This window comes from Homo sapiens, chromosome X, assembly GCF_000001405.40.
Source record: "Homo sapiens chromosome X, GRCh38.p14 Primary Assembly".
Classification (NCBI taxonomy): domain Eukaryota; kingdom Metazoa; phylum Chordata; class Mammalia; order Primates; family Hominidae; genus Homo; species Homo sapiens.
Window position 1 is genome coordinate 152,423,857 of NC_000023.11, and position 27,713 is coordinate 152,451,569.

General features: G+C 37.0%; 1 protein-coding gene across 2 annotated transcripts in view, besides 1 other annotated feature; it reads right to left on the reverse strand.

The window, feature by feature from the left end:
• The window catches only part of GABRA3 (gamma-aminobutyric acid type A receptor subunit alpha3), a 285,082-nt gene extending 257,623 nt beyond the window's left edge, over nt 1–27,459 (reverse strand). For both annotated transcript variants that reach the window (XM_006724811.4, NM_000808.4), the window contains exon 1: nt 27,290–27,459. The gene's annotated coding sequence lies outside the window, so the exon portion shown is untranslated. The remainder of the gene's footprint in view (nt 1–27,289) is intronic.
• Nucleotides 7,401–8,600: an enhancer, noted in NCBI's record as "MED14-independent group 3 enhancer chrX:151599729-151600928 (GRCh37/hg19 assembly coordinates)". NCBI's record gives its function as "activates an origin of replication core promoter dependent on BRD2, BRD4, P300/CBP and CDK7 cofactors, and independent of MED14, by STARR-seq in HCT116 cells {active_cell/tissue: HCT116}" and the evidence as "EXISTENCE:reporter gene assay evidence [ECO:0000049][PMID:35650434]".

Below are 27,713 nucleotides of genomic sequence, written 5' to 3' on the forward strand. Positions count from 1 at the left end.
GATAACAAATGTAATATTACATTTGGATATTACAAATGGATAACAAATGTAAAAATATATTCAACCTCAATAGCAATCATAAAAATACACACTAAAACAATATTTTAAAACTGTGGGAAGATAACTAATATATTAATTTGAAAGTTAGCTATTTTAGGGTTGTGGGAAAAGAACATGATTCATAGGGATTGTAATAAGAACAATTTTTGTATTGTGTATCTTTATTTTTCATTTTATTTTTGAACTGTGTGATTGAATTAATTTTCTCTAGATCCCAGCATTCTCCCAAAATCAAATAATCTTCCATCATTCCCTATCTCAGTGAACAGTACCATCATCTACCCAACTGCAGAATCAGAAACCGACAAGTCATCTTTCACATCTCCCTTTCCAACAGCCCCCATGTCTATTTCGTCTAACTTTTTATCAATTTTACCCCCTAACACCCCCTCAAAAACATTTATTTCTCTTCACATTGTTCACCACAACACTAGTTCAAGCCATTACAAACTCACTCTTGGCCACTGCTAAAGCCTCAATCACACAATAACTAAGCATCTACTTTGTATATGACACTGTGCTAACTGGTTTTCTGGAATCTACTGTTGTCTCCTTCTAATCCATCCTACACAGTAGCCAAGTTTAGCATTTCATAACCTGATTTGTCAGCAGCTCCCCCACCACTTGAAATGCTTCAATGGCTTCAAGAGTAATCTTAAAAATAATGAAAATTATTAGCATAGGCAAAACTTAACATTGTACATCTAAATGATGTCAGGCCAATTTTCCCCTACCCCACCCCAAAGTAGCTGCCATCACCATCGCCAGCTACCCTGGTATAAGCTGTTTTTATCATTCATCTTCACTACTATAATATGCTTTTGGTGTGCCCACAGTGGTTTTATTTAAATGTTTTCTTTGTTTTTACTTTTTGTTTGGCAATAATTTCAAACTTCCAAACGAATTCCAGAAATAGAACATACTCTTTGTCCATATGCACAATTTCTTAACATTTGTCACATTGTATCTGTATACTTGCAAATACTTCATTGTATATTTTCTTTTTCTTTTCTTTTTTTTTTTTTTTTTTTTTTTTTACAGGGTGTCATTCTGCCACCCGGGCTGGAATGAAGTGGCACAATCATGGCTCATTGCAGCCTTGACCTCCCAGGCCCAGGCTCAAGCAACTCTCCCACCTCTGCCTCCTGAGTAGCTGAGGCTACAATATGCTCCATCATGCTCAGCTAAGGTTTTTTTTTTTGTAGAGACAGAATCTTGTTACGTTGCCTAGGTTGGTATCAAACTCCTGGACTCAAGCAATTACCTACCTCAGCCTGCCAAAGTGCTGGGATTACAGGTGTAAGCCACCATGCCTGGCTTGTATTTTTCTAAAGAACAATATCACACTTGTATATAACCCACTTATATACAATTACCAAAATCAATAAACTTATCATTGATACAACACTGTCATCTAATCTAGAATCCATATGTACGTTTCAACAATTGTCCCAATAACGCTCTCTATAGTGATTTTTACCCGTCTAGGTAAATGTGTGATCCAATGTAGGATCACACCTTTGGTTATCATATCTCTTTAGTCTCCTTTAGTCTGGAACATTTCCCCAATTTTTCTTTGTCTTTCATGAAAATGAAATTTTTAAAGAGAAAAGATCAGAATGTCCCTCAATCTGAGTTTGCCTGACGTTTTCTCATGATTAAACTAGGGTTATGGGTTCGGGGAAAGAACACTATCTAAGTAATATTGTGCCCTTAGTGCATCACATCAGGAGACACATGATTGTTTTTTATGTTGTGATGTGATGTTTGATCAGTTGGCTAAAGTGGTGACTTTCAACTTCTGTCCTGGTTTCTGCTTGTACTCTCGCACCTGGAGGAGAGCTGTCCTTATCTGCTTATCTATTCCTACTCTGTCCCCTTTCCCTGATGTACTTCTTGAATAAAATATGTTTCTTCTTATCTCAGAGCCCATGTGTAGGCCCAGAAAACTCTTCCTCATCTCAATTTGCATGGCAGGCTCCTTTTCATCCTGTAGGTCCAGGTTAAATAGTATCTTTTTAGAAATCCCATCTCCTTTGCTTTCCACGAACACAGAACTTTGTGTGTTTTCTTCCTATGACTTCTTATAATTCCCAATTATTTATTTATGTAATTAAAATTATAATGTCTGTCTTCCCCTACTAAACTATAATTGTGGAAATGAGGAGCTAGTATTATTTAATGCCATCCAAGAAAGGTCAGATTCTCTCCCTTAACTCAGAATCTGGCATTTTAAGACACAGCTAAGAGTAAAGGAAACACTTTTGAGTCACACAGAAACCAAGTTCAAATCCCAGATCAGAATAACTGCATATGACCTTGGACTTCCTCATATGCGAATAGTGGATACCATCACCTACCTCACTGGGTGGGTAGGATTATATTCTTGTAAAACAAACTAGAATCATGTTTAGTATGTAAAGGAAGCTGCACAAGTGATAGATAGGGTTAATCTTCTTTCTGGATTAAGAGATATCCAGTCTTCATAAGAAGCACTCTTACAATCATACTGCTTAGTTTGCTATGTATTCACAAGTACAGGTGAATTGATTAACTTGCAAGAGTTAGTTGCAAGTCTCTAACAGTCAACACTTCATACTCAATTCTACTCTAGATCCAACCCTGTGGTGGGCATGGTGAGATTCTATCTCACTTCTAAGAATTCCCTTGATGAAAATCAGTTTCTCCAAACAGGTAGGTATACCTCCGCTGTACTTTCTCTGTCACTTCCTTTCTCCGTACTTTCTTCGTTGCATTCCTTATTCGAAGTGGTTTAGCATTAGTTGTTTCTATGTGTCTGAGTTTATCTCCCACTAGATTTTGGCAGAATAATAATAATAGAAAAATGATAAGAGCAAATATATCTCTAACACTTAACTATCATATTTCATCTAAGTTGCCACAAATTTTCAGATACAACAATATTTTTTATGCCACTAGCACATTAAATGTGCTGCCAAATAAACAATGATATGTCATTGATAGCTAAGAGTCATACTTATTTGGGAAATATTAAAATATGGGAAGAGACTGGGCTTCTTAAAATTGTTGAAACATGATCTGTGTTAGGCACTGTTCTAAGCACTTTATATTTATTAAGTTATTTAACCCTCACAATAACCCAATACGGCAGGTATGTTATGCTGCCTCCTCATTACTGTTCTCCATCTCCTTTGGCACCACCATAGATGAAGTCATCATTATTATCTCTCACACCTAATTCTCCCTCTATAGCTACTTTTGACTTCTTTGACAATAAATCCATTGCCTGCTGCCAGAATCAGCTTTGAAACCTGCAAATCTGACTATGTCATTCCCTGTTTAAAGTCCTTTAATGACTCCTCTATGACCTTGGAATAAGGCCCAAACACTGCATTGTACTCTGTATCTCTATTTTCACATCTCATTCTGTACACTCCAGCCATACTGACCTTCTCTTACTTCCTAGAATGCAGCATGAATTTTGCCATTATCAGGGCCTTCATGCAACCTTTTCCCTCTCCCTGGAATATTCTTACCCATCTCTCTCCCTATCACTACTGAAATGGCAAACAGCTATAGATCTTTACATTCTAAGCTTGAACATTACTTCATTAAAGAAAATTTACCTGTCATGTTCCCCACTAACCTAGGTCTGCTTTTTAATTTCTTTATAACACTTTCTGCTACTTTTCCACAGCATTCGGCTCACCGGAAAATTACTTTTTCAAAGTATGCCTTCCCTTTTAGATTGCGAACTCCAAAAAAGCAGGGGCCAGGTCTATCTGAGTCACCATTATATCCTTAACTTCTAGCACAGTCAGCTGATATATTTCATATACTCAATAAATAGATGCTAAAATGAAAGCTAAAACTTTCTGTTTCTCACCAAGAAAACAACGAATGCCCAAGGAAGAGGTTCATGAAGTGGAATTTGAATTTATCTGAGTTCTGCAGAGATCAATAACACAAGAGATCTAATAAGCAAACACTGAATTTGTCAGCTCTGGCCACAACATCTACAGCCAAATCCTGGCTGGCGCTTCAGCACACCAAAACATCTGGAGAGCTGTCACCCATCCATATATATTGCTTATATTACCCTAAACATCTTTTTATGAGAATACAGGTAATAGCTAAAAGTATTCTTGTACTTGCCCCTGCAATGTACTTGGCAAAGCAATGACGCCACTTAGAGATTCACAGACCTACCAATTAGATACAATAATTTAAGAAGTAAATCACCAAGGAAGGAGAGACACCCTGTCTCATTTGTATAATCTCCGCAGGCTGCTGGCCCAATATACAACTGGCCCCGTCCTAACAGTGCACTGACTCATAGTCCCTTCTAACTCAGCACCCAGATTCCAAAACATGCACCCTGCAGACAGTGATTCAGAGCCCTGGCTGCTATGCGGTGGCGTCCCTCCTCTCATCCAAAGAGCTACTCTCAATAGTAGTCCCTGGGGCTGCAGTCAGACAGATGAAGCTGTACGCTAAAGAGTAACTGCAGATTTGTAGTTTGTCCCCAGGGTACAGGAGCTATAAACAGGAATGTGCAATGTGCATAGTTCAGGCAACCTGCCTTTATCTAAAAGTGGAGAATCTGCAGACTAGACACAAAAACAGAGGAAGGTTGCATTAATATATACCAATTTCAGCCTCCAGCCCCCACTGAGCATATAACCAGGAGCATTGTTGTAGCATAGATACTGCCCAGGATCCCCAAATGCTTGTGGAAACTGTGTCATTTATAGATTCCTAAACAGGCACTCAGAAAGCAGGAGGCAATCACTCCACAAGTAAAGATGACAGTGAGTTCTAAAATTGAGTATTTACTTATTTCTGCTTGGGTGTTAATGCAGCTGGAATGCCACTTGTACAATGAGATACTTTTTTTGCAAACATTTGGCAAGCATACACCCACTACTCAAGAGCAAGAGAGGTTTTTTCTCAAGTTAGTCCCAGCTGAAAACTGAGAAAGATGGATTGAAAGCAAGCCAGAAATTGAAGAAAAACAATAGACCACTGAAAATGAAGAATGCACTTAATGGGTCACCAATGTGGAAAGCAAAGAAAGAAAATGGAGTGACTGATTATGGGATCCCAGCACAAGAACACAGCCAAGCCCTTGTGTCACTGGAATAAAGCAGAAGATTGGAGATTAAATATGAAAGAATTGAATTAAAAGAGAGGTAAGAACGATATCTGAGTCCCCATAGGTGAGTGAGACAGGTCAGGAAAACTGGTAGGAAATAAATTTAAAGAAGGAAATGCAGGGAAAAGTACAAGTTCAGCCAGACTTCCTAGTGTTTGCTAAATATTCCTTCCACTACTTCTATTAATCTACCTCCAATATACCTCTCAAACCCATGGTCTCTCTCTCCCTCCCTCCCTCCCTCTCTTTCTCCAGATTACCATTTTAGCCAAAGCAGCATTACTGGCCTCACATTCACTTCAGCCGCCCTTCTGCAGCATTAACCTATTCTTCACACAGCAACCAGAGGGGGCCATAAAAATGCGAATCAGATTGCTTTACTCCCTTGCTTAAAACTATTCAAAGGCTCCCTACTGCTCTTGAGGGAAAGACTAAACTCCTGAATTTGACCTACAAGGTCCTTTAAGATCTAGCCAAATCACGCCTTCCCACCTTAGAGATGACCTCAAACCATGGCAAAACCTCCATTGGCTCCATTCACCCCTCCTGAAACAATCAGAAACATTGTCTTCAACCTAAAAATAGTTGTTTTGTCATCTAATTTTCCTATTTCCATTTAAAGTTCAAACATCAATCTGGCAACCACAACTTCTTCACACTCCTGTCTTCTCTTCTTCCTGTCTGTCACAATAAGACTCTCCTCCTGAGGTAACCATTGCCACTCACCTGACCTACAAAACTTCCTTTGATACCAATGGGGGCCCTAGGTTTAGGCAAGTCCAATGTTCCTGATCCCAGAGTCAAAAACACCTGTCTGCTTAACCTAACCTGAGTGGATCCATATCTCTGTTGCTTCACAACATAGACTGATACTCAGATATGTGAATGTTGCAATCTATGATTACAGATTAAGTATAGAAAACTAATCATAGAGAATTCTTCATAACTAAGTTCCCAAATGTTGAGTAGCCATTATTTGAAGGAGAATTTATTATCCATCTAAAAATCCTGAAGGATTATCATGTCAAGCTAGTAATTTGAGTTCACACAGGAAAAAAATCCCCCTCTCTCAGCTTCAAACATAGAATATAGTGATGACAACTAAATCATAAAACATACATTAAAAAATAAAAACACAACCACAACTGTTAAAGAAAAAATAAAATATGTCCATGCAGCTGAAACAGAAAAATGAACTCAGCAATAGGCTGGGGATGGGGTTGGAGAGAATAAAACCACTTACCCACTGGGAAACAGGAAGAGGCAGCCAGAAGTTCAAGTACTGTGGGGTAACATAAACCAATAATATTGAATATATGGTAGGGTAGCAAAGCTAGATCACTGCAGGAAACCAGACGATGAGGCAGGGAACTCCTAGGCAGAATAACTCTAAAAATGCTATGACCAGCCCAGGAAGCTGAGACTGGCAACTGGGGTGTTGCCCAGGTAGGCAGTAGAGATAGTTATGCAACTAAGACTTGCATCACGCCAAGCACTGCCTCAAAAACTTGACCTTTGATATCTTCAAGGAATAAAAGCCCCAAACTGACAACATAAAAAGTGGTTCTGAACTAGGGACTGATCACAGTATTGCATCTATGAAAAAAGGACAAGTTGCCATAAAAAAAGGAAATTCAAAGGATATATATTTTTAAATCATTACAGTGTAAAATCATAATACGGGAAATGCAAAACTCTATAGAAGTGTGGGGAGATAAAGTTGAAGATATCTTCCAAAATATACAGCATTTAGACAATGAGATGGACAATAGAAAATGTAAGAAAATAATAAAATCAGCCTAGTAGGGCCAATATTAAAATAGTAGGAGGGAAAGGGAAAGAGATACAGATAGGGACAACGAGCTAGTGTGAGAATGAGTAAATGAGAGGGAAAGAAAGAATAGCAATGAAATAATTCAAAAAAAAATCCCATAGGCTTTTTTTGAAAGTCAACTGAATATCAGCACAATGGATGAAAATAGATCCACAAGAACCTACAACAGTGTTAGAACACAACAGATGAAAAGAATATCCTACATGTTTCAAGAGAAAGAAAGACGAAATTGAGCACAGATGTTCAAGAATAATTTCAGATTTCCTAGCAGATACTCTGGAAGCTAGAAGGTAGTGGAGCAATGTTTTCAACTCAAGAGAAACAGGAAGGAAATCTAAGGATAGTGATGGAGATTCCAGGATGATATCTATGAACAAAGCAGAGAGAGAAGCCAGTCCAAATTTTAATAGGGGAAAAGAGTAAAGAAACAATTTCAATAAGAAGATAAAACTAATAAAATATCTTTTATGTCTGCATTTACTGAGAAAACATGTCAACACTGGAAGAGAGTTTGAGCTTGAAGTAGTGATAAGTAGTACATAAATGATAAGCACATTTTAAAAAGACAATTATTCCAGTGAAAACTAAACTTTGCACAGAAAATGAAAAGTAATGCTCTTATATATGGTAGGCAGAATAATGGCCTTCCAAAGATGTGAATGTCCTAATCCCCAGAACCTGTAAGCATGTTATGCTACTGGACAAAAAGTGATTAAATAGCAGATGGAATGAAGGATGCTAATTAGTTAACCTTATAATAGATTATTTGGATTATCTGAGTAAACACAATGTAATCACAAGGGTCCTTAAAAGTGGAAGTGGGAGGGAGAAGAGTCAGAAGTGGGAGGCAGAAAAGTCAGTGTCAGAGTGATACGATGTGAAAACGACTTGCCTGGTCATTGCTGACTTTGAAGATGGGGGAAGGGACCAGGAGCAAAGGAATGCAGGAAGTCTCTAGAAGCCGGAAAAGTCAAGAAAACAAGTTCTCCTCAGAGCTTCCAAAAAGGAACACAGCCCTGCCAATGTCTTGATTTTAGCCCTGGAAAACCTGCAAAACTATTTAAAAACTAAAACTGTGTTGTTTTCAGTCACTAAGTTTGTGGTAATTTGTTACAGCAGCAATGGTAAACTAATACAACATGTTATCTGGCTCAGCTGTAAGTGGCACTGATATGGTCATAATAACATAAACAAAAAATTAAATCGAAGTTATACTGAAATTAAAAGAGTATGGGGATGGGAGAAGAAACTTATATATGTTGTACAAGTAGGGCAGATTTCAAAGAATCTGAACACTTATCTTCCAGAGTAGGAAATTAATAAATTTGCATAAACATTTTAAATTAAGATGGATCAGTATATGCATGTTATTTAGAAATACGGTATAAATACCAAAAGAATAATCTGAAATGGTGGAACACGGTTGCTTCTAGGAAGCTGGGCAGGGATCTGCTGTTGTTTTTAACAAATCTTGGAGAAATATTTGATTTTAAATTAAGACCTCATATACTTTTAACAAAAAGCAAACTTTAAAAAAAAATCATATGCTTTCAACAAAAAACAAAACTTGTTCAAAATCATAAAAGAATATTATGAACAACTTTAGCCATTACGTTCAAAAACTGAAGAAATTGACAATTCCCTAGGAAAACAAATAGCAAATAGCAAACAAAAAACAAAACTAAATGGATTAGAACAGAAATTGAACCAGGAGGCTAAACATCAAATCTCCCTCCTAACACTCTGCATACAATAAAAAAAGAATGGGATCACACCAGGATCTAAAATCAGTTTTATTAAACTAATAAAAAATAATTAATTCTTATCTTCTGCAAACAGTTCCAGAAACTGGAAAAAGATGAAAGCTATAAAAACTACCTTTTAGCTTAATGCAATATTCTTATCAAAATTGAACAGTATTGGTAATATCAACCTAAGAACCTAGATACAGTTTTTTAAAGGGAAAACAAATAAATCTAGCCACATATGATCTGTAATCAAGCAGATTTTTCTCTGAAATGAAAGGAGAGCTTAATATTGAATAACCTATCAGTGCAATTCACAGTTCCAAAAAAGATGAAGGAGAGAAAAGGAGTTGAATTACCACTAGTAATTTTTTAAAATAGATTAACATATTATAAAAAAAAGAAGTATAGGAGCATCTCAACAGATGAAGAAAAAAATCATGCAATGAAATTTTCCTCTCATTCATGGTAGAAATCTTAGCAAATTAGAAATACAATGAAACTTATTTTATTTGATGAATAATATCTACCAAAAAACCTAGAGGAAATACCATACACAATGGAGACACATTAGAAACAATCTCACTCAAGTCAGAAACAAGACAAAGACTGCCCCATGCCTATCAGTAACCAATGTTTTATTGTGTATCTTAGCCAAAATAACAAGAAAAGAAATAATACCTTAACATAAGGATCTTAAAAGGAGGGCAAAATCGTTTTCATTTGTAGGAGAAATGAAAAAAATTCAAAAGAATCAACAAATTATAAGAATGAATAAGAATTTTCAAGAATACTAGATGCAAGACCAACTTACAGATATCAATTAGAAAATATAATAGAAAAAACAGCCACAAAACAAAAATATGATTATCAAAAACTATGTAATGTAGCTTAAAAAGTGCAGATAGGGGTAGTTACAGCATTAAATCTTATATTAGATAAGAAAAACTCAATGGTTTAAAATTCCACTTTAAGACACATGAAAATGAAGAGCAAATTAAACTCAAAGCAAACAAAAGGAAGGAAATAATAAAAATAAGAGCAGAATTCAATGAAATAGAATGAAGGAAGACCAAAAAAAAAAAAAAAAATCAATGAAACTAAGAGCTGGTTCTTTGAAAAGATCAATAAAAGTAGTAAACTTTTACACAGATAATGAGAAAAAAAAAGAAAACAAAAATTAACATTTATTAGAAATGAAGACAAGTGGGTCACTACAGATCTTACAAAAATTAAAAGGATAATAAGAAAATATAACAAATTTATGGAAATGAATTTAATAATGTAGATGAAACAGGCAGAATATTTGCAAGACATAATATCAGCTCTCACTTGAGAAGAAATAGATAATCTATAGCTTTTTATCTATTAAATATATTAAATGTATAAATTCACAGTTAAAAACCTTGGCTCAACTGGTGAATTACACCAAGTGTGATGGTCAATACTGAGTGTCAACTTGATTGTATTGAAGGATGCAAAGTATTGATCCTGGGTGTATCTGTGAGGGTGTTGCCAAAGGAGATTAACATTTGAGTCAGCGGGCTGGGGAAGTCAGACCCACCTTTAATCTAGTGGGCACAATCTAATCAGCTGCCAACGAATGTAAAGCAGGCAGAAAAACATTAAGAAGCGAGACTAGCCTAGCCTCGCAGCCTACATCTTTCTCCCATGCTGGATGCTTCCTGCCCTCAAACATAGGACTCCAAGTTCTTCAGTTTTGAGACTCGGACTGACTCTCCTTGTTCCTCAAGCTTGCAGACAGCCTATTGTGGGACCTTGTAATCATGGAAGTTAATACTTAATAAACTCCCCCTCTGACTAATACACCAAGTACTTAAGGAAGAAAGAATACTAATTCTACACAAGCTGTTTCACAAAAGACGGAAAAAACACTTCCCACCTCATTTTATGAGACTAGAGTGACTCTTTTCCAAAACCAAATAAATGCATTATAAGAAAAGAAAATTAAAGACCAATATATCTAATGAATGCAGACACAAAAAAAACTGTAAATAAAAATAAGCCGAGATATATATAACAAGAATAATACATCATGACCAAATAGAATGGTTCTATGGGAAATGGTAGAATGGTTCAACACTTAAAAGTCAATCACTGTAATTCACCATAGCAATAGACTTAGAAAGATCATTTCAATAGATACATAAAAAGCATTTTAAAAAATTCAAGATCATCAGCATACATTCATGATAAAAATCCCTCACCAAACTATGGATAGAAGGGAACTCCCTCAAACTTATAAATGGTATGTGATAAAAATCCAAAGATGGCACCACAGTTAATGGCGAAAGACTGAATATTTCCTGCAATAAAATGAAGATCAAGGCAAGGAGATCTGCTGTACACTTCCATTCAACATTCTACTAGAGGTCCTATCCAGTTAAAATACAGTAAAAATAAAATAAAATAATATAAATACAGCAAGAAAAAAAGATATGATTTGGAAAATAGGAATTAAAACTGTGTTTACTACCAGACAGCATACTCATCTGTGTAGAAATTAGTTCAGCCACTGTGGAAGACAGAGTGGCAATTCCTCAAGGATCTAGAACTAGAAATACCATTTGACCCAGCAATCCCATTACTGAGTATATACCCAAAGGATTATAAATCACTCTACTATAAAGGTGCATGCACACGTTTGTTTATTGCGGCACTGTTCACAATAGCAAAGACTTGGTACCAACCCAAATGCCCAGCAGTGATAGACTGGATGAAGAAAATGTGGCACATATACACCAGGGAATACTATGCGGCCATAACAAAGGGTGAGTTCATGTCCTTTGCAGGGACATGGATGAAGCTGGAAACCATCATTCTCAGCAAACTAACACAAGAACAGAAAACCAAACATCACATGTTCTCACTCATAAGGGGGAGTTGAACAATGAGAACACATGGACATAGGGAGGGGAACATCACACACTGGGGCCTGTCAGGGGGTGGGGGGCTAGGGGAGGGATAGCATTAGGAGAAATACCTAATGCAGATGACAGGTTGATGGATGCAGCAAACTTCATGGCACATGTATACCTATGTAACAAACCTGCACATTCTGCACATGTGCCCCAGAACTTAAAGTAAAGGAATAATAATAAAATACAGAAAATACCAAGAATCTAAAAACAAACAAAACAACTACTAGAACTAGTAATTAAGTTTTATAAGTTCATAAGATACAATATCAATAGACAAAAATTAATTGTATTGCTATGCACTAATAATAAATATCAGAAGTTAAAATTTATAAATTACCATTTATAATAGCATCAAAAAGCATGTATTACTTAAGATAAATTTCACAAAATATATGCAAGATCTATACACTGAAATATACAAAACATTGTTAAGATAATTTAAAGAAGAAATAAACAATAAAACGTTATACCATCTTAATGTATCAGGAGACTCAAGGTAGTTAAGATGTCATTTCTTCCCAAATTGACCTAAAGATTTAACTCAATCCCAATAAATCTTTCAGTAGCATTTTTGGAGGAGAAAGGGAAAAGCTGGCTGATCAATTTATCTGGAAATACAAAGGACCTAGGATAGCCAAAGACAGTTTTTAATTGTTTTTCAAAAATAATTTTTAAATGAAGAACAAAGTTAAAGGATCCACAATGCTTTACTTCAAGATTTACGAAAATGCTATTGCAGTTTCTCAACCTCAACAATATTAACATTTTGGGGCAGAGCAATACTTTATTGTTTGGGTAGCTGCCTGGCCTCTACCCACAATATGCCAGGAGCATGTCCCTCCATTTGTGGTAACCAAAAATGTCTCCAGACATTGCCAAATGTCCCTGGGGGGAATATTGCCCCAGTTGGGAACCACTGAATTATAATAATTGATGCAGCATGTTAGTTTCAAGGTTACACAAACAGATCAAATAAACAGAATAGAGTCCAGAAGTAGATCCATCCATACACAGTCAGTTGATTTTGGACAAGGGTGCCAAGGTAATTCAATGGGCAAAACATACTCTTGTCAACAAATGGGGCTGGAAAAACTGGACATACATAAGGAAAAATATATTGTATATGCCTGGAACATTACCTTGCTCCAAAGGCAAAAGTCATCTAAACATGCACCAAAGACATAAATCAAAGAACAGAAACTACAAAACTCTAGAACAAAACAAGAGAGAATTATTTTGAACTTAATTAATGCAAAGACTTCTTAGAATGCAAAAGGTACAAGTCATAATAGAAAACCCATTAAGAAAATGAAAAGACAAGCCACAGAAGGGCAGAAAATATTTCCAAAACACATATCTTCTAAAGAATTTGTATTATATTTAATATTATATATTGTATTATAGAATGACCCAATAATAAGAACACAAATATCCCAATTTTAAAATGGGCAAACGATTTGAATGGACATTTCTCCAAATGAGATACACAGATGGCTAATAAGCACATGAGAAAATGTTCAGTATCATTAGTCATAGGAAAATGCAAATTAAACCACAATGAGCTACCACTACGCACTCACGGGAAAGACTGACAAGGCAGGATACAAGACTAATCTTCAAAAGTCAATAGCATTCCTATATACTAGCAATGAACAACTGGAATTTGAAATGTAAAATGCACTATTTATGTTACCACCAAAATCTGAAATGCTTAGGTATAAATCTAACAAAATATGTATATGATATCTTTAAGGAGACTATAAAACTCTGATAAGAGAAATCAAAGAAGATCTAAATACATGGAGAAATATTCCATGGTCATGAATAGGAAGACTCAGTATTGTTGGATAGGAAGATTCATTATTGGTAAGGTCAGTTCTTCTCAACTGATATATACATTCAATGCAGTCCCAACCAAAATCCCAACAATTTATTTTCTAGATATCAATAAACAGATGCTGAAGTTTATATAGGAAGACAAAAGACCCAGAATAGTAAACACAATACTAAAGAATAGGAATAAAGTTAGAGGACTGACACTACCTGACAGGAAACAAGGCAGTGTAGTGCTGGTAAAAGAATAGATGAATACGTCAGTGGAACAGAATAGAGACCCCAGAAATAGATAGACCCACATGAATATAGTCAACTGATCCTTGACAAAGAAGCAAAGATAATATAAGGGATAAATGATAGTCTTTTCAACAAATGGTGCTGGAATAACTGGTCATCCACTTGCAGAAAAAAGATGAATCTTGACAAAGACCTTACATTCTTAACAAAAATTAGCTCAACATGGGTCATAGCCAGTAAAATACAAAACCAAAAAAGTCCTAGAAGACAAAATAGGGGAAAAGAAAGAATGATCCATGAAAGTAAAAACTGATAAATTGACCTTCATTAAAATTTAAGATCTTTGCTCTGTGAAACGCACTGTTAAGAGTATGAAAATACATGCCATAGACTAGGAGAAAATATTTGCAAAACATATATCTAGTACAGAACTTATATTGAAAATATATAAAGGACTCTTACACTGAACAATAAGAAAACAGCCCCGTTAAAAATGAGCAAAAGAACTGAAGAGACAGCTCAGCAAAACAGATAAGATTGCAAATAAGCATGCAAAAAGATGCTCAACTCGTATGTCGCTAGGGAATTGAAGACTACAGCAACAATGAAGTATCACTACACACCTATTAGAATGTCCAAAATCCAAAATGTAGACAACACCAAATGCTAGTAAACATGTGGAGCAACAGGAATGCTCATTTATTGCTGATGGCAGTGCAAAATGATATAGCCACTTTGGAAGACAGTCAGGCAGTTTCTTACAAAGCTAAACATAGTTTTACCATATGATCCAGCAATTGCACTCCTCGGTATTTACCCAAATGAGTTGAAAACTTATATCCACACAAAAACCTGCTTACAAACACTTATAGCAGCTTTATTCATAATTGCCAAAACTTGGAAGTAACCAAGATGTCCTTCAGTAGGTGAATGGATAAACAAACTGTGGTACAGCCTATGTGTCTATCCACACAATTGAATATTATTCAGCAATAAAAAGAAATGAGTTATCAAGCCATGATAATACATGGAAAAATCTTAAATACATATTGTCAAGTGAAAGAAGCCAGCCTTAAAAGCTACATACTGTAAAATTTCAACTATATGACATTTTGGAAAAGGCAAAACATTAAAGAGAGTGAAAAGATCAGTGGTTGCTAGAGGTTCAGGCTGGAGGGAGGGATGAACAGGTATATAACAGGAGATTTTTTAGGGCAGAGAAACTATTCTATATTATACAATAATGGTGGATATATGTTATACATTGTCAAAATTCATAGAACTGTAGAACACAAAGAGTGTGCACAAATGCAAGCTATAGACGTGAGTTAATAATAATATATCAATATCAGTTTATCAGTTGTAACAAATGCACCACATTAAAGACGTTAATAATAAGGGAAACTGGGGTGGGGGATGGGGTAACTCCGTTGAATTTTTTTGTAAATCCGAAACTGTTCTAAAATAAAGTTTATTATTATTATTATTATTATTTTTTGAGATGAAGTCTCACTCTGTCACCCAGGCTGGAGTGCAGCGGCACAATCTCAGCTCACTGCAAACTCCACCTCCCAGTTTCAAGTGATTTGATTCTCCTGCCTCAGTCTCCCGAGTAGCTGAGATTACAGACGCCTGCCACCACACCAGGCTAATTTTTGTATTTTTAGTAGAGACGGGGTTTCACCATGTTGGCCAGGCTGGTCTCGAACTCCTGACCTCAAGTGATTCACCTGCCACGGCCTCCAAAGCACTGGGATTACAGGCATGAGCCACCGTGCCTGGTCTAGTTTTTTAAAGATGAAAATACCAAGTGGTGGTGGGGATAATGAGCAGCTGAGACTCTTACACACTGCCGGTGGGAATGCAAAATTATATAGCCACTTTGGAGAATAGCTTGACAATTTCTTATAAAGTTAGACATTTACTTTGCATATAACCCCAGGAGTCCCCTTCTAGGTATTTACCTAGCATAAATAAAAATATATGTGAAGCAAAAACCTGTACAAGAACATTTATAACAGCATTGCGACATGGCTAAATAGTGGGAAAAAAACAAATGTCCCTAAACTGTTGAATGAATAAATTACTCAGCAATAATAAAGAATAAACAATAATGAAAATATGCAAAAACATGGATGAATCCTAAAAGTAAGTGCTAATTAGAAGAAGCCAGACACAAAAGACTACATACCAAATGTTTCCATTGATGTGATAGCATAAAAGAAACAACACTTTGAGGACAGTAAACCTAAGACCTAAAACCATAAAATTCCTAGAAGAAAACCTAGGCAATACCATTCAGAACATAGGCATGGGCAAAGACTTCATGTCTAAAACACCAAAAGCAATGGCAACAAAAGCCAAAATTGACAAAGGGGATCTAATTAAACTAAAGAGCTTCTGCACAGCAAAAGAGACTATCATCAGAGTGAACAGGCAACCTACAGAATGGGAGAAAATTTTTGCAATCTATCCAACTGACAAAGGGCTAATATCCAGAATCTACAAAGAACTTAAACAAATCTACAAGAAAAAAACAACCCCATCAAAAAGTGGGCAAAGGATATGAACAGGCACTTCTCAAAAGAACACATTTATGCAGCCAACAAACATATGAAAGAAAGCTCATCATCACTGCTCATTAGAGAAATGCAAATCAAAACCACAATGAGATACCATCTCACACCAGTTAGAATGGCAATCATTAAAAAGTCAAGAAACAACAGATGCTAGAGAGGATGTGGAGAAATAGGAACGCTTTACACTGTTGGTGGGAGTGTAAATTACTTCAACCATTGTGGAAGACAGTGTGGCAATTCCTCAATGATCTCGAACTAGAAATACCATTTGACCCAGCGATCCCATTACTGGGTATATATCCAAAGGATTTTAAATCATGCTACTATAAAGACACGTGTACATCTATGTTTATTGTGGCACTGTTCACAAAGACTTGGAACCAACCCAAATGTCCGTCAGTGATAGACTGGATAAAGAAAGTGTGGCATATATTCACCACAGAATACTATGCAGCCATAAAAAAGGATGAGTTCATGTCCTTTGCAGGAACATGGATGAAGCTGGAAACCATCATTCTCAGCAAACTAACACAAGAACAGAAAACCAAACACTGCATGTTCTCACTCATTAGTGGGAGCTGAACAATGAGAACACATGGACACAGGGAGGGGAACATCACACACTGGGGCCCGTCAGGGGGTGGGAGGCTAGGGGAGGGATAGCACTAGGAGAAATACCTAATGTATGTGACAGGTTGATGGGTGCAGCAAACCACCATGGCACATGTATATCTATGTAACAAAACTGCACGTTCTGCACATGTACCTCAGACTTATAGTATAATAAAAAAAAAAAAAAGAAAAGAAAAAGAAAACAGATAGATGGTTTCCTGGAATTGTAGGTAGAAGAAAAGAACTGGCTGCAAAGGGGCCCAAAAGAACCTGTTATAGTAAGGGAAATTTTCTCTATCCTTATTGTGGTGGCACCGGTGGTAGTGGTTACACAATCATATACATGTGTCAGAACTTAAACTGTACACTTACAAAGGGTAAGTTTTATTTTATGCTAATTATACATTAATAAATCTGACTAAAAAATAAAGTTGCCTGGGACTAAATCTAATATGTAAGAGTATTATCAATAAATTTACCAACCTTCATCAAAGGTTGCAAAAAGTCCTGAATAAATGCCAAGATATAACATATTCATGAATAGGAAATCTCTGTCAAAAGGATGTCAATTCTTCTTCAAATCATTCTACAGATTCAATATAATTTCAAGAAAAACAAACATTATTTTCTTGTAATTTGATAATTTCGTTTTAAAATTAAGGTAAGTGAGGAAAGGACCAAAAATAAGATAATCCAGAAAAAACAAGAAAAGTGGTGTGAGTGTGGATGAAGGCAGTGAACAGTAACTTGACTTTACAAATATCAAATTCGTTATAAAGCATTTGTAGGTAAAACAACACAAGTGTAGACAAATAGATTAATGAAACACAATAGAGAGCCTAGAAATAGACTCAAACACATATAAAAATTAGGCAATGTGGTGGAGTTTGCGGTCTAAACTAGTTGTGTATAAATGATATTTAAAACAAATAGTATTTTACATGGAAAAAAAACTGCTTAATATTTTACATCACATACAAGAATAAAATCCAGATGGATTAAAGAACTAAGTGTAAAGAAAATTTCTTGAACTCTTCAGCAAAATTTTGGAGAACATTTTTTATGATCATAGCATCAGGAATATCTCTTAAAGCATGATACAAAAAGCACAATTCATGGAGGAAAAGATTGATAAACCTGATATGAAAATGTAAAACTTCTGTAATGATAAAGGACCCCATAAACAAAATAGAAAGCGAAGTAACATTATAGAAGCAGATATATGCTATATATATCACAAATAATTAGTATCCAGAATATATAAATAAGTCTTATGAATCAGTAAGAAGAAGCAACTGAATAGAAAATTCAGCAAATGTGAGTGGCCCTGAGTGTCACGTTTGGAGGGATGTGGAAAGGAATGAAACGGGGGCTAGACACAAAGAAAGTTAAAGTTTATATATAATGTTTCATTTATTTTATTAAAACATATCAAAAGCCAAAACGACAAAATGCTAACAGTTGTTCACTCTGAGTAGTATATATGTGGTTACTTGTTCATTGTTTTGAAAGATTCTCTGAGTTTCCCTTAAATTTCCAAAATAAAAAAAGGGAAAAAAAACAAGAAAATAACTTGTAAACTATACATTTATAATAATAAATTTCAGCAAAGTGAAAAAAATAGAAGTTAAAATCATAAATACTAATTTTCTGCATAATCAATTAGCAGAAATAATGGTAGAAAGATCCCCTTCACAAAATTAAGAGCATAAAATAAATGTTACTGCTACCCATTCTATACAGATAAATTTAGGCTTAGAGAGACTACACAGCTAGTAAGTAGAAGAGCTGAGGTAATAAAAATTATTTTAAAGCTACAATAATATTTAAACTTTGTAACTAGGACAGGAAGAGACAGACTAAAAGAAATGAAGAATAGATAAATTCCAAACAGAATCTATTATATATTACAATTTGTATATATTACAGAACAGTGGGAATGAATGAATTATTCAGTGTTTGGTGCTATGAAACAATTGGCAGGGAAAACAATTTAGAAAATTACCTCACACTACACAGCAAAATAAATTCCAGAGGGATTAAACATAAGCAATAAAAACTAAAACAAAATTCATTTAAGCACTTATCCAATTTTGAATGAGGAAGAAATTCTTAAACACGAATTCATCAGAAGAAATTACAAATGAAAAGATAAATATAATTACATAAAATTAAGATTACTATGCATAAAAGTCAATTTAAAATGTAAACTTTTAAATGTAAACATTTAAAATGTAAGTGGGAGAATATTTTCCCTACATTTGACAGAAAGAGGTCTAATGGGTCAACTAAACATACATTGCCCATACAAATTTAAAAAAATGTAAGTTCTTAATGGAACATGTACAAAGATCATAAATAGATGTTTATAGAAAGGAAACAAAATTAATCAAGAAATATAAAAAAGTATTCAATCTCATTATAATAAAAGAAACACGTATTAAAACAGTAAGGTACCATTTTGCCCCTAACAGATCGGTAAAAATTTTAAAAGAATGGCAATGGCCAGCACTGTCATGGGTGTATGAGCAGTAATCAACAATCTTATACAGTAGAGTGGAACACCTTCACATAGATATCAAGAGCCTTTAAAACGTTAGTATCTTCAGGCCCAGTAATGTCTTTCATAAAAACTCATCTTAATAATTCATTCAACAAATATTTAGTAAGTATCTACAATATGTCAGACCTTATTGTAGGTTCTAGCGGATATAAGAGTGAACAAAATGGAGAAAAAAATCCCCGGGCTTGAGGGACTTACACCCTAAAACAGGAATCCAAACAATAGATGTAATGTATCTAGTCTATCAGGTGATGACACAAACCAAAGGTTTAAAAAAGTAAAGCAAGAAAGGGGAAGAGTGAGTGTTGGAAAAGATGGGTTTGCATTTTTATGTGAGATCATTTAGAATTCAAATGTGACATTTGAATAAAGACCTAAAAAAGGTGAGGTTCAAAGAAGCAAAAATAATTTAAACGATCAATATGTGATCTGTCATACAATTATGGTAGAAATTGAAAACTGAAAAGTATGCAGCCATTAAAAATTGTTTGAAGGCTGCTGACCGATGTGGGGAAATGCTCACAATATAATACCAATGAAAAAGCCAGATCAAAAATAGTACATATAAGATGTGATCCCGATTATATAAACACAGAAACACATCTGAAAGGAAATACAGCAAGGTATCTCTGGACTAGGGATTTAGAGGTGATTTTTTTTTTAAATGTCTCTTCATTTTCAAAATTTTCTGTAATGCGGTTGTTTTACTTTTATAATCAGGAAAAAACAATGTAATGGTAGATATTACAATCTTAAGGTATATTAGAAAATATACTCAATTTTTTAAATGGAAGTGCTAGCCATCCATGCTTAAAGTACTGGGTCCCGTTTTGGACATCATATATTAAGAGGGACACTGAAGATAGAAGTGTCTACTGTATAAGTTTCTCAAAATATATATCACATAAGCTCAAGAACTAGCAATATATAGACTGAAGAAAAGATGAGAAGAACAACCATGGTTAAACATTTGAATGGCCACTACAAGGAAGGGGAACAGCAATTACACAGTATAGCTATTGCTCCAAGGTGCAAGATCAATAGGTTGAATTCAGAAGACAGATTGCAGGTCAGTATGAAGAATAACTTGCTAACAACCAAGCTGTCTGTTATCTGGTGGTGTTAAGCAACCTTTCCTGAAACCATTCACACTGAAAACAGATGACCATATGTACTGGGTGATAAGACTGCCATCACATGATTGTTAAGGGCCCTGCCATTTCTGAACTCCTCTTTTACTATTTTGAAAGGTTATTTTATGCTATGGTCACTTACATAATTCCATCTCCATCCACCTCCCCTTCCCTTAAAAACTATATATAATACTTGTGTGTTTTTTTTTTTTTGTTTTTTTTTGTTTGTTTGTTTGTTTTTTTTTGGCCGGGCGCGGTGGCTCACGCCTGTAATCCCAGCACTTTGGGAGGCCGAGGCGGGCGGATCACGAGGTCAGGAGATCGAGACCATCCCGGCTAAAACGGTGAAACCCCGTCTCTACTAAAAATACAAAAAATTAGCCGGGCGTGGTGGCGGGCGCCTGTAGTCCCAGCTACTTGGGAGGCTGAGGCAGGAGAATGGCGTGAACCCGGGAGGCGGAGCTTGCAGTGAGCCGAGATCCCGCCACTGCACTCCAGCCTGGGCAACAGAGTGAGACTCCGTCTCAAAAAAAAAAAAAAAAAAAAAAAAAAATACTTGTGTTTTTTAAGAAATCAGTTTTTAAAGAGAAAAGTACCCTTCAAAATATATATCCTGGAGATTTTTATTCCCCCTTCTGTGTATATTCAGGAGACATATTTTGTGCAGACATCAATACGTTTAAAATCATGCTTTTAAGTATAAAAATGCTTTTATATTACCAACTAGTATTTCCCTTCACATACATCTTCCCCCCAGGAAGAGACTACCTGGACCATTACATTTCAGAATGAGATAATCACCTTGTGTGTATTTAACAGTATTATGCCCCATCTTATTCTCAGTGACTTTAGTTTATTTCAAACCAGCAGTAATAGAAATACCACCTAATATCCAACTTTACTATATATTTTACAATACGGTCAGTTCTTTCCTTAACTCTCAGGACAGTTACAATTTCAGTCACCTCAGGAATAAAAAATGGAAGGTGCATTTCAATGACCCCTTCCAAAGTCTGTGAATACTCCCACCAAAATTATCAACCTTCAGAATTCTGTATAAAGTTATTAGTGTTGCTTATAGAAGTGACCAAACCTGAGCTACCTGCACAGAACCATGATAACACAATATAGAGCAGAACATGAACTATAGAACCTTACAGCTTGGAGGCTCTTTCTAAATATCTTAATGGATTCATGTCAGTCACCCTATTCAAAACCCTTTTCCAAACCTCCCCCCACCGTATTTTACAGTTATGGAAACAGGCTCCAACAAGACAAGTGATATGTCACAACAAACCGAGTATCCAAGTCAGGACTAGGCTATCAGAAATCCCATTTTAAGAGGGATTTTTAATATCAAATTCTTCATATTTTTTATCAAGTGCCTCTTCCTATAAATTGCTGAATAGAGAGAGTTGGAGGACCTGGGAAAGGCACTGGGTCTTTGTGAATTTCAGTTAAGCTACATGACATATAACCTAGTTTTTAAGTAAGTCACTGCTCCTGTGGACATGAGCCTGGAGGGACCCTTCCCTTCCCTTACTATTGAAGCACAGTCATCTGCCAAACATTTGCAAAATGCGTATGCATCATCCAACTGAAGTGTTGGTAGGCACTGTGACCATCAGAGTGGGAAGGACTGTTATAAACCAGATATCATCTATCACTACTCAACTCTGCTGTGAAGTTTAATAATGCTGACCACACCTTTCTTTTTAAAGCGGTACATTTTCCTCTACATATGAATCACAATTTATGACTACATAGTTCAGTGGTCTGTCGAATAATGTCTATCTCACCATCTAAACCATGAGCCCAGGATGGCAACAACTTTGTCTGTTTTGCTCACCATTATATTCTCCATGCCTAGTAAATGTTATGTATGCAAGAAATAAATTAGAAGGTGCCTCTCCTCTCTTGGCACCTTCATAACACTGTACTCTTCTAATTTTCCTTCCATATCCCTGACTTTTTCTCCTTTGTAGCCTTCACATAAGGTTCATTGTTCTCTCCCATATCCTAAAAAAAAAAAAAGCATTCTTCAAAGTACCACCCCTGAATCTCTTTTATTCTATTTCAAGTATTGAGAGGCAATGACTCTCAAATCACTCTCTCCTACTGACTTCTTTCCAGAGTTCCAATCCCATATTTTCAAATGTGCTCAGTACCTTTTACTGGGCTACAACAATATTACTACCTGTGTGGCCTCAGGCAAATCAAGTCCCTCACCCTGTCAAGATGGGTTTGCTCATCCACAAAATGAGGGAGTTGCATCTCCTTTGCATATAAAGTCCTAATTTTCCCATCTAGCATTCAGTATGATTGACAGTCAAGCCCTCCATCTATCTTGCCAAACACATCCCACATAAGTATTTCTGCATACACTTTACTCCAACACAACTAGCCTCTGAATAGAATACCTTTCCCATCCCCCAATTCTGCACACTCAAAGTTTGTCTCATCTTCAAAGCTCATTTCAAATGCCACTTCCAGGAAGGTGTCTTTGATCTCCTTAAAGCCCTTTGCTTCTCTCTTATGGGTGTAGATCTCATCTCCTAATACTATAGTTGTTTGTCTATTTCTTCTCTTTCCTACTTGACTGTGTCATCTTGGAGGGCAGAGGCTATTCTTAAATAATCCTGTATCTCCCACATTATCTTTGGTTCATCATAGGCACTTAGTAACCTTATATTGAATAGATTCCATTTAAGCCATGTCAGTTATCCTGCTCAAAGCCCTTTAATCAGTCCCACTCTTTCTAGAATAAAGACCAACAGCCTTATAATGGCCCACTCCAGCAATCCCTTCAAAATAAAATTGAGATACCAAGTAACCCTCTGAAGTAGTCAAGTTGGCTTTCTATCCACTGTAAGAAATTTTTAAAATGGGATGAATCCTGTTTCCCCAATGCAGAAGAAAGCCCAAATTACCTTTCCTTTATTGAATGTATGGCCCCACAACTAATGTCAAATGGTTCATTCATTTATTTAAAAAACATCTGTTAAGCCTCCTACTCTATGTCATATACTAGGCTAATGGCTAACGGTATAATTAACTGAACTGATACAGCCCTTCACCCACTTGGAATATATAACTGAAAGCGTAATTTGTAGAAACTCTAAGGAAATTAAGAGTTTTAAGAAAAAACAAACATTTTATCTGTCACAACACATGAACAATGCAACTTTGTGTAAATGTTAAATTCTTCATTAAAGGAGATATTTAACTGTAGGGTAAAAGATCATGACAGGTGATTTAGAAATTAAAGCTGGGTCTAATTTGGGCCTCTTAAATTAGATGGGCAGGTAGCCTAGACCAGTGCACTCAAAATGTAGCCCGCCAAATCAGTGCCTGTCTGTGAACTTTTATTACCAGGCAGTAAGGACCAAAGTACAGAAGTCAAGAGTAAGCACTTAGAAAATGTTACAGCAATTTGAAAAAATCATTTTATGTCTGTAGAATCTAATAATACAAATGCGGGCTTATCTTTTGTATGTCTTTTCTTTCATTTTCTAGTAATTCATGGTTAATTTATTTTACTAAATTAACAGTCTTCTGTGATGGATTAGGAAACAAACAAACAAATGACAACAAACATTTTCCTTCACTAGGGGAGTTTGACCAGTACTCTACTAGAGCTTTGCTACTTGAAGTGTGGTCAGTGGAACAGCAGTTTCAGGATCACCTAATAGATTGCTAAAATGCAAAATCCGAGGCCCCTGCCATAGACTCTCTGAATCACAATTCGCATTTTAACAAGATTCCCAGGAGATATTTTTACACATTAAAGTTTGAGAAGCACTGGCCTAACGATTTCCGAAGCCTCTCATAACTCTGAAATCTTATAATTTACTTCAGATAGAGAATTTCAGAGTTGAAAGACCCTCAGAGACACAGTCCATCTCAACATCTTACAGATGGAAAAACTGAGGCACATGGAGGGGAAGTCATATGTCCAAGATAATCAGCAAATCATCTGAGCTAGGAATGGAACCCAAATTTGCTAACAGCCAAGTCAGTGTTCCATTCTAGCAACCACATACTCACCCCTTTCCACCCAGTCCCACTGCATTGTATCCCCTCAGTGATGTAATTATTCCTGAGGTGTTTTCTGATAAAACAATATATTCTTCTACCTTCTGCATACTGTATGAACCTTGAACTACCACTATTTCAAATGTGGTACTTTTCTTCATGAAATTAGAAAATTTCATAATTTTCTTTATGAAAATTCCTGCCACTCAAATCTTCCCACACGCCTATTGTCCGGATGCCATATAGACATCCTGGGGGCTTTAGAAGGACTAGTACTAACCAATTTCTGGTCTTTAGGAATATGAAAGCGACCTTCCTTGCTCCCATCAGTCCAGTTGACACCAGATAGCAAGCTCATCCAAGGAAGAGAATATACACTATCAGGGCTGCTCTAGAAAACTCCGTAGGGTCAATTTGTGGCTAACAAAACAAGTGGGCTATTAGGCCATATTAAGAATAGTCTAATATCCAGCATGAAGTAAATGATAATCCTTTACTCTGTGGTCTTATTGGATCCAAGGGTTAAGAGGGAGGCATGATTGCTGTCTTCAACTAACTGAAGAACTATTATTAAGAAAAAGCAAATTTGTTCCAGATAGTCCCAAAGAACCAACGAATATAAGTTACTGGGAAACAGACTTTGGCTTATGATGGGGAATACTTTCTGACAATCAGAGTTGCTCCATGACACAAAGAGCCACCTAATGCACTCTCTGTCACTGCAGGGAGTTCAACTAGAAATCAGTCAACAAATTGGATGCTTAGGATAAATTCAAGAACTGAGTAGAGAAATAAAGCTTAATGAATGACCTTTTGGGCTCCTTCCAGTTCCAAGGTTTTAGTATTCTAAAATTTTCGGCACAGAACAACTCCAAATGCTCAGGAAATAAGAATGAGGTCTGTTTTTAAAAGGTGCAGTTTGGAGCATGTTGGGTGGATGAGGCTATAAAAAGTGAAGTACGATTTTCAAGGAAAGGAAGCTGACCAATCAAAGTCTTTTGGGCAGCCCCTCCAGAAATCCAGGTGAAGCCCGGCTCCAGGCTGAGTTGCTGTTACTCTACACGAAAGCCAGGCCGCTACTTTCCAAAAAACCTTGCCAAGCCACACTGTACCTATTGTATCTACACTTGCCTAACAGACAAAGGTGCAAAATTCTCCCCAAGAAGGCAGTAGTGCTTCATGGTTAAGACCACGGATTCTGGAACCAGGTTGCCAGTTTAATTTCCAACTGAGACATGTAATTGCTCTGTAATCTTGGATAAGTTACTTAACCTCTCTGTGCCTCAATTTTGTGAGTAAACCAAAGATAATAATAGTGTCTGTTATTCAATGCACTATTCTGCTACAGTAATTTAATGAAGTAATACACACCAAACACTCAGCCCAGAATCCAAAATATACTACATACTCGATAATTTTAGCAATTAGTATTAGGGATGTCAGAATTACTACCACAGGCACAGCAGCGTCACTCACTTAGAAAGCTCCCATCAAACAATTGGATCCCTTCCCCTACCAGTTCTGAAGGGCTATACTACAAGAGCCTCAATCAGTCTTTGCAGAGCTCCAGACAACCAGAACTTGCTGACTCTCAATAAGCCAAACTACTCACGTTAGTAATCCTACCTCATCACCCTGCTTTCCATAAATCCAACAGCCACCCTTCCCCCAGTCCTCTTGCCCATGCCACCCGCAGCCACAGCCACAGCCACAGTCAGAGGAGCAACAAACTGGGAGGCCAGTTGCAGACAAACCATCAGGTGTTTCCTCCCTTCCAAGGACACAGCTGGACTTAACATGATGCCTATGAGTGAGATGGGGTGGGGTATCTCAATCTCTGATCTAGGATGTCAGCTCAATTATCTGGAATTGAGGGTGGGCAGGCAATGGAGCTTCTCGCCGGGAAACAAGGCAAACCTCCCAAGTTTGTGGAGGAAGTCAGGCCCAACCCCACAGTGAGCCCCTCAAAGGAAGGGGGGAGGGCTCAATCTGCTTTAAAGGAAGCAGTTATTTACAACTTTCTACTCACTTGCATGTGGGGGAGGTAATGGGGAGATGGGGAAAGAGGCTGCAAGGTACCCTCCTTCTTTCTTATTTCCAGCAGTGAGAAGCAGCTGCGGAGAAAGAGTTAAAGAAGGGAGAAAGCTCCAGCCATTACTACATCCCTGGTGCCTAGAGCTGTCTGGGGGGTCATGACAGTGCTGTCTGCTTTGGCTAGGGGCCACTCCGTGGCTTTCTGCAGCAGCTGCTGGGGCCCCCCAAGCAATTTGCAAGGTCAGTGCTGACCTGCTTCCAAAGAGGAACAAAACAATTCACTGACAATGAAGCAAATCACGCATATACCACATCGCAACCCCCCTTCCTCAAATCGGGTTTTACCCCAGTGTCTCCCTGCTCAGATGCCGCCTCTGGGCTTCCACCAGCCCCACTGGGGAACCCAGGATAGCATCACAGCTGCAGAGCATGCCTCGCCTCCCGGCCAACCCAAGGAGACTCTCAGTACGGGGGAGAGATGCTATCGCTAAAGGAGACCTGAGCTTGGGGGAGGGGGAAGAAGGAACATCAATGTTTCTTACCGAGCTCTACAGTCTGAGCGGAAAGGAGAGAAGGATGAATGAACTGAAACAAGTTGGAGGTTGAGCCCTGACAGAGCTCGGCTTCTGGCTTCTTCTTCTCTCTCTGGGTCTCTCTCCTGGTCCCTCTCTCGGTCTGTCTCTCTGGTTTGCTCGCTAGCTTGCGCGCGCTCACGCTCTCTCGCTCTCTCTCTCTCTCTCTCTCTCTCTCTCTCTCTCTCTCAATCTGCCTCCCTCCCTCTCTGTCAGTTTCTCCCTCCCCTCCTCCCCTCCCCTTCTCCCCTCCCCCTTTGCTGGCTTTAGGTTCACCACTGGTGCTTAGCACGCGGCTGTGCTGGGGCTCTGAATACAGTACTGCAAGGCTTTAGATGTGGTTGTTTTACGAAATACTAAAGTAGTATTTTATTCCTTAAGGCATCCAACAGAG